The 14,160-nt window shown below is 39.6% G+C and overlaps 2 annotated features.

The window, feature by feature from the left end:
• Nucleotides 398-1,597: an enhancer, noted in NCBI's record as "CDK7 strongly-dependent group 2 enhancer chr18:71382077-71383276 (GRCh37/hg19 assembly coordinates)". NCBI's record gives its function as "activates an origin of replication core promoter dependent on BRD2, BRD4, P300/CBP, MED14 and CDK7 cofactors, with strong dependence on CDK7, by STARR-seq in HCT116 cells {active_cell/tissue: HCT116}" and the evidence as "EXISTENCE:reporter gene assay evidence [ECO:0000049][PMID:35650434]".
• Nucleotides 2,507-3,706: an enhancer, noted in NCBI's record as "P300/CBP strongly-dependent group 1 enhancer chr18:71384186-71385385 (GRCh37/hg19 assembly coordinates)". NCBI's record gives its function as "activates an origin of replication core promoter dependent on BRD2, BRD4, P300/CBP, MED14 and CDK7 cofactors, with strong dependence on P300/CBP, by STARR-seq in HCT116 cells {active_cell/tissue: HCT116}" and the evidence as "EXISTENCE:reporter gene assay evidence [ECO:0000049][PMID:35650434]".

The following is a 14,160-nucleotide window of genomic DNA, read 5'->3' on the forward strand; positions in this document are numbered from 1 at the left end:
TAATACTGTCTAGTAATTCCTCTGCAATATCCTAATATGTAGAAATGTCAAACTTGATTTTCATAGCGCCTGATCAGTTCTACTGCTGGTAAAACAGAAATATAGTCCATATTTTTTCTCTAACTTTGAGATTCATTTAATATAACCGTTCTGCCTGCCTTTCATGTCTCTTTATGTTTCTGGCTGAACAGCTGCTAAACATCATGGCCTCAAACGTGTTAGCTTCAATTGAATTACAGCAGGAGGAACACTTGAAGCAAAGAGGAATCAGCTAGGACAGCAGGGAGAAATTTCCTACAGCGTAAGACACACAAATTCTAAGAAATTCTTAAGGTCAAGTATCGCCTTCAGAGTGAGAGAAGATCTCTAATTTCTATGACTGAGTCTGCAACTGTTTTGATTTTGTAGGGGGCGAGGAACCTGGTGTCATCTGTCACCTGACTGCCCAGCTCTGTATCATGGTCCAGGGAACCACTCTGAATTTGAAGAGAACATTCCTCACCAAAGTCCTCCTCAGTTTTTATTTATTTACTTGTGTGTTTTTTTTTCTTGTCTGTCTGCTTGTTTATTTTCCTCCAAAACCAGAAAATTTAACCTAAAACTCTAAGACTGGTGAAGAATGTGCTGACAACCATAGCAGATAAATATGTGCATGCTTAGAATGCTCTCCATATACTTAAATACTTGAAAAATAAAAGAAGAGCAAACATGCAGGAAAAGTAAATAGCTTGAAACTAGACGAACATTTCAGCAAGGTCAACATGTTAGTTAGTGTCTATCTAATACCGTTTGTTTAATAGACAAGAGCTTGACGGAGCACTGTGGTGTGCTGGTGCCTCACTTCACTTCGTCTTTCTTATCTGCCAACGGAGACATGCCTGTTTCAAAACATCGCTGCTATTTCAAAATAATCAGCAGCAGGACACGCCGCTCATCCAGATGCCTGGTGGTGTTTGCTTGTCGGTCAAGAGTCATTTGTGAAGAAACGCTGTAATGCCAAGGACGAGGATGTGAGCAGAGCCAGCCGCACACCGAACTGTGATCCAGCCGCTCCCTCCCACAGGAACGTCCCGCATCAAACGCGGAGGCGCTGCCATTGGTGACTGTTGAATACAGTAATTCCTGACATTTTAACCTCGCTTATCCAAATGCCCACATTTCCGTTGGATGAGGTGGTATGGGAGTATCTTTAGCTGCATGTTGCCATAATTAAGGCCTCTGGCAAACGCTAGACATTAGCACGCGGAGCACCAGTGAGGAAGATGGAGTGAGGAAGATGGAGCTGCATCATTTCCTCATAGCTGGCTCGAGTTTCAAATTCCCTTATTGTGTCTATTATTCTCCATAAGCCTTTATACGCTTCATTACTTTAGACCCTTTTAATACTGCCTGTAATACAAGGTTAAATCTAGCTTTTCAGGCCACATTAAATCTTATTTTAAACACCCTGTTGTTAGAAGTCATGGATCACCATTATACTAGACCATTCACAGCATTATAGTTAAGGTTTGAGTTGCAGCTTCTGTTGGGAGAAAAAAAAAAAGCTCTATTAATTAAGGACTTGTAAACGAGTTATAGAAAATTCCTTCAAACTAAACATTGATATAAAAGTTCTCTCACAAAACTAGGGAAGATTTGGAAATTAAAATGTTGCAAGGGGACTATCATTGTGTTAGTCTGCTCAGGCTGCCATAACAAAATACCATAGACAGGGCAGCTTAAACAGCAGCAATTTCTTTCTCACAATTCTGGAGTCTAGGAAGTCCAAGACCAGGGTGCCAGGAAGGTAGTTTCATCCTGAGACCTCTTTTCTTGGCTCAAAGGAGCCTGCCGTTTCACTGTGTTTTCTCCAGACCTCTTGTTTTTGCACACCTGAAGAGGGAGGGAGAGAGAGAGAGAGAAAGAGAGAGAGAGAGAAAGCTCTCTCCTGTCCCTGCCCATCAGACCATCATGGCGTCATCTGACTCTAGTCACTTCCCAAAGATTCCATCTCCAAATACCATTACGTTTTGGAATAAGGGATTCAACCTGTGAATATTGGGAGGGACATAGGCGTTCAGTCTATAACAATTGTATAATAGTTCTCTACTACAAATTGCTTCATATAGATTTTTTTTAAACCTTGGACTTCTGGATGTAGTTGCAGCAGATGTTAAGGTACCTGATAGACCTATTTCATTATCGGTTGCGCTCCAATGTGGGGGTGGGGGACAAGATCTGATCCAAGTGCAGGCTTTGGAGGGGAGAAGCAAGGAGATTCACTGATTGTAGAGAATTTAAAGCCAACAATTAGCAGACTGCCTGCTTTTTATTAACATCATGAAATGGCAATTCTAAATAAGGTCAGTGATAAGTTATACCTCCCTTAGGAGAAAAAAATGATCTAAGTTTTAAATGTGATTACTACTGAATTTTAAAAACTCATGTATAAGCTACAAATTAACATATTTTTATTATTCTTCTTTAGTAAACATGATGGTCTACCTGGAAGTTAAATTTAGGGACTTTCCAGTTAAATGATCATTTTCTGACACTGGAGGAATGACAGTAAGTTCTTATTTATTTATTTATTTATATTATTCTTATTAATTTTTTTGAGACAGTCTCACTCTGTCACCCAGGCTGGAATGCAGTGGTGTGATCTTGACTCACTGCAACCTCTGCCTCCCAGGCTCAACCAATTCTCATGCCTCAGCCTCCCAAGTAGCTGGGATTACAGGCACGTACCACCACACCTGGCTAATTTTTGTTTTTAGTAGAGAAAACATGTTTCACCATGTTGGCCAGGCTGGTCTCAAACTCCTGACGTCAAGTGATCCGCCTGCCTTGGCCTCCCAAAGGAGATTAAGTTCTTAGTAGCTCAGAATGGTACGAGCTTCCTGTGGATGCGTTTTATGGACTCTCTGCTGCCTCACCATCTAGTGCTGCATTTCAACAGTGTATTTAAGAACACAGTGTAGTGATGGGAAAGACTAAGAAACTGCATTTGTGTTGCTTCATTGTTGTCATTCTGTATGACCACTTGAAAATTTTTGTGTTTAAATTTTAATACACTGAAATAGAGTACTAATTGTGAGATGTGATATTTTTGTTTGATAAGTACAAATTCTAGTACAAACATAAAACATGCAGACAACATGTGACTGGATTTGAATATTAACTTTAAAATTGAAAGTGAGTGTTGTTTTATGATTCTTCTTTTTTTCATCTTAAAACTAAAGAATGAAGAAAGAAAACAAAATCTTTCATCAACAGCATGATTTAGTAGCCAGATTGCTATATGGAGGAAGTAAGTATCAGGAAATGATTCACTCTGGGTGTCTAAGGCACTAGGAATGTCATTGTCATCAGTGTTTTTCAAATTATTGAATGTGACAAGGTGAATCTCTTTCACTAAAGGAAAAAAGACACAGGCTTCAGGCTAGCTTGATTCTCATCGCAATGAACTGACCTAAAGACCTGAGAGTCTTCCTGCTAATACAGTTGTCACTGAATTTCCAAACAGATTTCTGTTAATGAGACATTTCTCCATAGCAGGAAAACCTACCTTGTAGCAATTTAGCCCTTTATGTGATCTGGATGTGGATATCTTAATATCTTGTCCTTTCTACCTAAAACACTCTCAGAATCCAACTCATGCAAGGATCAATCCAACACCTTAGGAGCCCAATCAAGGGGTCTGGCAAGGAACTGAATGTCCTAGGCAACATGTAAATGGTTTAGTGTCCTCAGGCATCCAGATCGCCTTCTCTATAATGAGGATAGTGACAGTTGTCATTACCAGGGTTACAACTGCAGGAAAGCTTAGCGAAGATTTCTCTAAACTGACACTGAGTCCTTAAAACTAAGCACATGTTTGCATAAGTATCAAACTGCACATTTTATGAAAAGTGTAAATATGAAAGAAACATGAGCCCTCACTCCTTTGTCTGGTTATTCAAATGATTGGGATAACTCATGTTTAGCACAGTAAGATTTTATTCCTGGAAAGAGCAAGAGTTAAAAACAAAATGGCAGTCCTGTAAAGATTAAAGCTGATAAAAAGATGTGAGACAGATACAAATCCCTTCAACTTTCAAAACCCTAAATGTTAAGCGCTACGACACAACCGTACCTTAGGAAATGTGAAGGTTAGAATGAAGATTGTAAACATGCCTTTTTATATACAAACATTTATGCATACAATCATTCATATAAATACCCATATCTTACGACATGTTTATGCGTGTGCATGAATACTCGGGAATACAGAAAAACTGATATATGGACACCATGATTTCTTTATTAGACTGTCTTCAGAATGCTTCCTTACATGCTTCTGAAAAGATCAGGGTTTTTGTTTGTTTGTTTGTTTGTTTGTTTGTTTTAGACAGGGTCTCACTCTGTTACCTAGGCTGGAGTGCAGTGGCGCGATCATAGCTCACTGCAGCCTCGAACTCCCCACGCTCAAACAATCTTCCCACCTCAGCCTCTAAAGTAGCTGAGACTGCAAGTGTGCACCTCCACACCTGACTTGTTTTCATATTTTTTGTAGAAGTAGGGTTTCGCCATGTTGCCCAGGCTGATCTCAAACTGCAGGACTCAAGGGATCCTCCTGCCTTGTCCTCCCAATGTGCTGGGTGGCATGAGCCTCTGCATCTGCCCGATCAGTTGTATTTAAAAGATACTTTGTTTGTAAAGCTGCCCCTAACTTCCATGTGGGAAGGGTGGGTATAAATTGTTGTGTGTTATGGTAGTATACACATACTAAGCTTCCTCCTGCATTCGAGACTATTGATTGTGTCTTCCTCCATGAACCCATCTTCCTTTGTTAATTCTTCTCTTCTTTGTTCTTCATTGTGGGCTCCTCCTGCTTTTCCTTCTTCTTAAACACTTTTTCCTGAAAGTTTCACAGTCTTGCTCTTCTTCTCAGCTAGTGTCGCACACTCTTTTCTGGAAATACTTTCATAGTTTTAGCTATCAACCCTATGCTAGCTAAACCTTTCTCTCCAACCTTGATCTTTCCACTAAATTTTAGATGTATATACACACACACACACAAACATATGTAATATACACATGCATATATAAATATACACATATCATATGTGTACACATGTATTATATATAATATATACATGCACATATAAATATATACACATACATATATAATACATATGTGTTCATATGTGTACATATATACCGTATAATACATATGTGACATAAACATGTATATACATACACATGTAAATATAGACACTTATGGACACCTGCACTAGAAGTCAGTTGAAACCAGACTCATCATCTTTCCTCTGTATTTATTCTTCTGGTGTTTTGTTTCTCAGTTTCCTGTACCAGGGACCCATCCACCTCCCAGGGCAGAAATCTGGGACTCATGCCAAAGAACTCTCCTTCTTCCCCCTGCACCAACTCAATCACTGCACCTTAATACTTCAGCTCACCAACAGTCTCCAATGCCTTTCACTCTTTTCCCTTCCCACTACAACTGTCCTCATTCCATCTTTGCATATCTCATGGACGATTGCAGTAGCTCAGTAACAGATCTTCTTGCCTCCCATCTTGTGCTCCTCAAACTCAAGTCACAAACACTCTGGAAGTATCTGACTACATGCAAATTGGTCATGGTAGTCTCTTGACTAACACTCTTAATTCTCATTGTCCAAAGCAACATTTCTTACAGAGGCAGTACCTGCATGTGTGGAAATGGATGTGTGGGTCTGGGGCTGTCACAGTGATGGGCAGAAGGCTATGGCCGTGAGCAGTGAGGCCAAGGATGCAGATGTTCTGGGATGTGTGGGATGGCCCCACACACTTTGCCCGTCAACCCAAAGCACTCATACAGTTTTAATGTACACTGATTTTTCCAGGAATGCATCTACCTTGCATTGTGCTTTATTCTAAAGGTGGCAAATGTTATTGATCATTTCAGAAAATTGCATCACTGTAATATTCCCATGCATCTGAGTCATCAACGTGGCACATGTCAGTCTGCATTTGAAGTTGTCACACTTATTATTCTATGTTTAATTTAAACTTCTTATCATTTTATCATATTCCTTAATGAGGTTATATACAAACATTTACCTCCTTAAATAGACATCATTTTATTATAAATTAATTTTTCTGTTATATTTCTTCATATTATAGTAAAAAGATTATATAAATGCTTAAATTTAAGTTACAGATAGATAGGTTATATGATCTGCAGATTTCAAGACAGTAAAAAGAGAATTATTAAACATTTAAGTAGAAGGAAATGTCTGGTAGGGATGAGAACCTCTGTCTTGCAGGATAATGCCCCAGCCCATTAAGAGTAGATTGGACCCTGAATAAGCTGCCACCTACCTATCTGTCCAGACTCACCTCCTGCCAATAGCCAGGCAATCTCCTTTGATTCGTAATTAAACTCCGGTAATACTGACTGCTAACAATTCTCCAACACAAAATGTATCTTTTATTACCTGCCTTCACTGAATGCTTTTAATGTTGCCTGGAAGACGTTTTCTCCACTCTTTCCCTTGGCCAGCTTCCATACCACCAGTGAGAGTCACCTCAGCAGAATGTCCAGGAGTTTTGCACATACAACCTTCTCATACCTGGTCCTGCAAGCTACAGTCTAGATCCCCGATGGAAATCCAGAAAATAGCTGTGGATTCCTACGTTGAAGCATAAACACACCATGAAAATATTCTGTTTAAAATGTCACCTTTCTCATAGATTGTAAATGCGTCTAGGGTGAAGCCTGCCTCATAGTCTGTGCTGTATGTCATACTTAACTTTAGTAGGGCATCAGTGCATGATAAACTGATCGTCCATTCATCAGATATATCAGAGTGCATGTGCTTATCTTTCCAATATACGGTGAGCCCTTTGGGAGTGGTGCCTGTGTTATGGATCTTGTGATCACTGGTGCCTGGTGCAGGGCCTCACAGGGGGCAGATACGCATGCGCTGAATACAGGCAAGGGTGTGTGTGTGAATGAGTAAACAAGTGAGCAAATGTGAACTGTCATTAGGAAAAACATAATGACCATGAAGAATCTCTCATGTGATAAGGTGAGGGTTGTGGCAATCTCCTCAGCAACGTTCCGATTGGCAAAACCCATCCTACAAGATCCAGCCATGGCCCTTCGGAAGCTTGGAAGAAAGGATGCAACATGGCACAAGCTGAGGATGCATGCAGAGCCCCTCACTTCAGCTCTCTACGAATACAAGCAGCCTGAGCCTACTCAAAGAGAAACATTCATATTTGCAAACAGTCCCATCAGTACTGTCTATGCTATACTTCACATTAACTGTCAAGACAAATGTAACCATAAAATGCATGAACTGTTTTTGTACTGAAGGTGACCCTTGCAAGGCCTGGAAGTTTGAGCTGCTTCAAGTATGTGGCACCACGACTCCAAGAAAGTCCTGTGTGTGAAACAAAGATTCAGTGAAGGGGGAGTCAGAAGAAAGACATTGCAAGCAAGGAGATGTACAAGTGAATATGATGTGCCCAAATGAAAGCCACCCAGTGAGCAACCACAGAGAATGAGGAACCACTCACACAAGACTGTCTAAGTGGGAGACAACAACTGTGCACACATAACACTCAAGATCATCAATTCAAATAATTAACAACAAAAAAATCTGTATACCTTGTTGCCACTTGACTATTAGCTAATCTATTTACAGCAGCATCCTTATAAGGCCAAAATTAAACTTTGATATGGTCAGTTACCCAAAAACTCATCCACAGACAAACAAAAAACAATCGTTGACTCAAAGGAGCCATGTATAAGTCTGAGTATTGATTAGAAAAAATGAAAAGTGCCACTGTAAGGACAACATCTAAGAATAATTTTCCCCCAATTGTGGATGAGTAATATTGGCTTTATAATGAGAAAGTCTAATTGAGTGTTTTATTTGAGTATCATGCTGGTCAGACCATACCACTGATAGGTGACATTTTCTCATTGCAATCCAGCATTTTATTTTCAGGAATTATGTAAATATAGACTAAAGTGCAAGAACCACTTAAAATAACTTGTAATCAAATAGTACTCCTGAGATTAGTAGAGATTATGTGCATTGTATTAGATCATTTTCATGCTGCTAATAAAGACATACTGGAGACTGGGTAATTTATAAATAAAAGGAGGTTTAACAGACTCATAGTTCCACAAGGCTGGGAGGCCTCACAGTCATGGTGGAAGGCAAATGAGGAGCAAAGTCACGTCTTACATGGCAGCAGGCAAGAGAGCATGTGCAGGGGAATTCCCCTTTATAAAATCATCAGATCTCGTGAGTCTTATTCACTATCATGAGAACAACATGGGAAAGACCCGCCCCCATTATTCAATTATCTCTCACCAGGTCCCTCCCACGATGTGCGGGAATTATGAAACCTACAATTCAAGATGAGATGTGGGAATTATGAAAGCTAAAATTCAAGGACACAGCCAAACCATATCATGCACCATGCACTGAAATTCCACTCACATAGTATAATACACACATATCCAGAGAAATAGTTATTATTAGGGAAATTTTTGGTAAAGTTAACAACATTGACCTTAATTTTTTTTTGTTTTTTTTTATTCTTTTTTTTTTTTGAGATGGAGTCTGGTTCTGTTGCCAGGCTGGAGTGCAGTGGCACAATCTCAGCTCACCGCAACCTCTGCCTCCCGGGTTCAAGTGATTCCCCTGCCTCAGCCTCCTGAATAGCTGGGACCACAGACACACACCACCACGCTCAGCTAATTTTTTTTTTTTTTTGTATTTTTAGTAGAGACAGGGTTTTACCATGTTGGCCAGGTTGGTCTCGATCTCCTGACTTCGTGATCTGCCTGCCTCAGCCTTCCAAAGTCCTTAATTTAAAGAAAAAAAAAAAAAGCAAGAATAAATCCAAGGACAATAGATTTGATTCAAGACACAAAGAAGACTGACAGCTCCAAGGAAGTGAGGTCAAACAAGAAGCATTTAGGAGTGTTAATTGAATAGAAGTCATTTTGCTTTACATTAATTTGAAGATATGGTACAAAAAATCTAATGTGAAGAAACTGGAGAAATAAAATCAAACAGTCTAAAAAGTTTCTGAAGTATTGTCTTAAAGTCAACACAGAAAAATCAAACAAAAACCAAATCGCCTTTTCAGTCTTTTGAAATTGCATATAGAAACAGTGTCATTTTACACTGCTTGAATGTTTAAAACATTCCAAATAAGAAATAACAATGATTTTTAGCAGTTTTTCTACTGAACTACAGTCTGTTTCATGTGGATAATTTGTTTCCAAGGTAGACAGTCATCAGAAAATGTAAGAGAATGGGAAAAGAGCCATAAAAAACTCCTTGGAATTCTCAAATGGATCCATAGAATACGGTAGCCTACTTGGGTCAAAGGTATCAAAGCCATAGCTGGCTAATGAAAGGAGATGGATAAAGACAGTTGGATATCCTCTCTGAGGTTACCTAGTGTTATGAGATTATTGTGTCCTGCTGCCAGAATTATATGGTGAAGCCCTCACTCACAGCACCTCAGAATGTGACTGACTGTATTTGGAGATAAAGCCTTTAAAGAGGTCATTAAGGTAAGCTCAAATCATATAGATGGGCCCTAGCCCAGTGTCCATGTGAGAATAGGAGATTGCGGCGCACACATGCTTGTGCACAGAGGAAAGACCACAGCAAGGTGGTCCTCACAGCAACGTGAAGACACAGCAAGAAGGCGTCCACGTGCAGCCCAAGGAGAGAGGCCTCAGAAGAAACCATCCCTGCCCACACACGGATCTCAGACTTCGGGCTGCCAAAACTGTAAGAAAATACATTTCTTTTGTTTCAGCCACACCGTCTGTGATCTTTGTTATTGCAACCCCATTAAACTAATACACCTAGTTTGGCAAATTTGGGCAGATCAGAAGTTAATGAAACTTGTGAAACAATGCTAAGCATAAATTTGGTATAATGTGCAATATATTAGCTATGACCCAAAATATTAATAGAATGCCCTCATTTAAAAATTCCTAGAACTACTGAAGACTCAAAAAGGCATGGATATTTTACACATACTTTTTTTGTCTTCATACATACATACCCATTCCCAGATTCTATGCTGTCTAAAATCTAAACTGTCAAGGCAAAATTCTGACAGTTCCCTGCCTACCCCAGGGATAAATGTCTGAATATCTAGGAGAGGCCTGGAGCCCAGCCCAGAGGAAATAAAAACAATAGCTATCACTATGTGACAGACCATAAAAGGCACTTAATATATGTTCTTTCACATAACACTTTTCTACCAACCCAAAATAAGAAAATATAAACCTCATCAGAACCAAAGCCAAATAATTCTTCAAAAGATGTTATTCTGCATATATTGGGTTAAATAAAACGTATTGCTAAAATTCACTTCACTTGTTTCTTTTTTAGTTCTTTAACGTGTCCACTGGGATATTCACAATTAACTATATGTGGCTTGCATTGTATTTCTATTGGATAGTGCTGATCTAGAGAACTGGGCTTCAGGTGCAGGTTGAAAGAAGGGATTTGATAGGAAGAGAAAAGGAGACACTGCTGGAAGGAAGATTTTCCTTGAGTCTAAACAAGAAGCAGAAGCATGAAAGGAAAAGAAGGAGGGAGTTAATCATGGAGTATGGACATTTATTCTGGGAAAGTTGCCCATGAATGGAGAGGACCAGCTGTCCTGAAATTAAGAGTGAGTGGATCTGGCAAAGCTCATTGTTTGTGCACCCATGGACTGGGTAGGGGCCCATAGATCACCCAGCATTCACTTGTTCAAAGACTTTCCTAAGCTGTCCCCAGACACTATACCAACCATATTTCCCTTTGGCATCTAGTGGTGACTTTATTGCCAGCTTCAAACATATCAGCCATTTATGGCCCAGCAAAAGGAATACTTACTTGTATTGCAAAACTTGGCTCAGGCTTCTCGCCACCAGGACACACATAATCTTATGAAAAGGGTGATAAAGTCCTAGAAGACTATTTAGTTGGTGATAAAGAAGTTATTCACACACCTACCAATGGAAGATGAGAGCTAAGAAAGTCAGCTATCCCGAATTGGTGAGTCGCAGCTTTACAGTCTTCAAGAACCACAACTCATTTATACCACAAGTATGTTGACGTAATTTTCAGCTTACCGAACATATGAAAATTTCCCTCTCTCTCTAATAAATACCCTCCAAAGCCCAGAAATTTGGCTTTGCTACTGACACCCCTTTGTTAAACCACTACTGAAAGGTAAAAGAGTATAACCTCACAAAGCTGCAATTATCTGGAATTTGAATATGCTTCCCCCACTCTACACATATTCCTTTCTCCTCTAAGGCCATCCATGCTTTTCCTGAAGCCTAGGACCACAATTAGTGTTGACCTTTCTCTATTAGTTCTCAGTCTCTACTTCAACAAATAATGCCAACATGTTTTCCAAATAGTTTTATTGAGGTATAACTGATATACAAAGAATTGCACATACGATTTGATGAAATTTGTAGATCTCCTGTTAAGTGATCTTACCAAAGACAAAAAACAAAGAGATACAAAAAAGCCTTGGAAGGTGTTAGAAAGGTCAGCTTATTAACACAGACTAGGAATCCCCTGTCTCTTTTCCTGGCAGAAAACTATTTTAGTTCCAACAACTCTTTACCTTTTACAGGAAACACTCTTTGCTCTTTCCCTAAAAAATAAAATAAAATACCTGTCAATCTAGCTGACATTTGCTTTGACAGCACTTAAGTAGCTGAGCCACATGCCAGCATTCTCACTTTCATCTTATTCAGGACAGCAAAAGGTTAATTCTGCATCTGATTCTAATCTGCAGAGCAGGATTCCTCAACCTTGCTATTGTTAATTTAGGGCCAGATAATTCTCTATTAGGGAAGCTTCTTAGTGCATTCAAGGGTGCTGAACAGCCTCTATCCACTAGATTTTGGTAGAGTCTCCTGATTTACAAAATCAAAAATGCCTCCAAACATTGGCCAATCCCCTAAGTAACGAAATTGCCACCCAGTTGAGAATTACTGCTATAAATGACCAGGAAGGTACTGTACACCATATTATACCGTAAGATGGAAGGTATTTGGTTTTTTGCACCAGGATATGAAAAAAAGACATGAAATAGGTGAAATGCAAGAGGTCAGTAAGTGGCAAAGCAATGGTACATTATCATGTAGATATTCCACTTTTTATCACAACTCTATCAAGGAAAATTGTAAGATTGGAAAAACTGATAACCTCATATTGGCAAATCAGGTGACTTTGACCCCACTGGAGCTAAATAAAGAATGAAATTAGATATATCATTGCCCTCACCAAGTCCATATGTTTAAAAAAATAAAGAACTAAAACACACACTCTCAATCCATAATCCAATTGGATCAGCACTGTTTATACATTCATGCCCATGCCTTATAATTTAAATGCACTTAAAGTTTCAAAGACTTAAATGTACAGCCATTTATTTATAGTACTTTATTTATAGTACGGAAATAAAAAAGCATTGCAAACACTGCTTCTAGTTCATAATTTTAAATGGATTGCAAAGTTTTAAAATCTGGGCAAAAGTCTCAGATTACTAGTGCCAGGGTGCAGAAAGCCTTTGTGTTCTCTGCGGGCGACTTTGTATAGAGCTCATTGTCTCCTTCCTCTTTAAAGAACATGGAAGAATACATTCTCCTAGCTCTTGCAAGTCCCCAGCACCACTGCCTGTTTGGCTTGCCTTGCCCATAGGAAAATCTTTCATCATTTTTCTCCATTGTACCAGGTTCTTACTAACATCTAGTTGAAAGGCATAATTTACAATTTCAGAATATGAGATCCAAATGATGTGTCTAAAGTACTGGAAGCTTATGATCGGGACAAGCTACATAATTTGTGTGGCCCAGTGCAAAATGAAACATATGGCCCCTTGTTCAAAAATTATTAAAAATTTCAAGAGAGTCCCAGCAGAGCGTTAAACCAAGCATGAGACCCTCTCTAGAGCAGGAGATCTCCAGGCTGCACAGGTCTCAGGCACTGCTTATGACACTGGATTGGCTCTGCCATCAATTTGCTATGTAGCCTTGGGGAGGTCCCCTAAACTCTGCACATTTCCCCAACCCAAAACAAACACAGAAAATTGTGCCTTCTTAACCCAAGAATGAAGGGTGTCAAGGAAATCATTGACTTCAATCCTCTCATTTTTGGAAAGATCTATCCCAGGCTAATCTAGGAGATTTATGTGCATATATTCAAATCATTATTATTTCTGCCCTCATACACATCTACCTGACTTATATTAACTTGCTTCCTGAATAAAGGAAGAATTAAGTAGGGTGTCTCTACACTATAGATATATTACACCCATGAAGTAATGAGTGCAATTTTCATAGGTCACAGAGGAAAATCCAGTCTCATTATTGTGCAGTGGTGCATAGACAAATACCATTAGTTTTCATAGTCAAGGATTTCTTCACCTGTGAGAGTTTTTATCACAGAGAAAAATATGACTGAGGGTTGAGAGGGCACCCTGTCATGTCATGTGGCTCTGTTGTAGAGACTGCTTTTAAAATGTGTAGTTGCAGCCATTGGCCAAACCCAGAGTGCTGTGTCAGCCTGTGGAGTGGCTGTGGACAGTATTAGAATTTAGAAAGCATCTTTCCGTAAAGGACAGAAGGAACCATAAGCACCTGAAGTCTCTCTTTACTGTTTGGCATACAATCCTTAAATAGGACTTCAGAACTAGAATTTGGAACTGCTGCAAAGTCTCTTAGAACCCTAAATTTGGATACTGTCTGTCGGCTTGGGCTACCATAATGAAAAACCATAGGTTGGATGGCTTAAACACCAGACATTTACTTCCCACAGCTCTGGAGGCTGGAAGTCTGAAATCAGGGTGCCAGTATGTTTGGGTCCTGGTGTGGGCTCCCTTTCTGCTTGCTCTGTCTTCACAGGCTGGAAAGAACATGCTCTGGTGTCTCTTCTTATAAGAACACTAATCCGTGATGAAGCCAGGCCTTAATGACCTCATCTAAACCTGACCACCTCCCAAAGGCTCCATCTCTTAATATCATCCCATTGGGGTTAGGATTTCAGAGTATGAATCTGGTGGAGTGAGGGAAGCAAGCATTCACTCCATAACAGACATGATGCCTGTAACACTTTGGGAGGAGTTGTACAGGACAGC

This window comes from Homo sapiens, chromosome 18 (assembly GCF_000001405.40).
Source record: "Homo sapiens chromosome 18, GRCh38.p14 Primary Assembly".
NCBI classification, from domain to species: domain Eukaryota; kingdom Metazoa; phylum Chordata; class Mammalia; order Primates; family Hominidae; genus Homo; species Homo sapiens.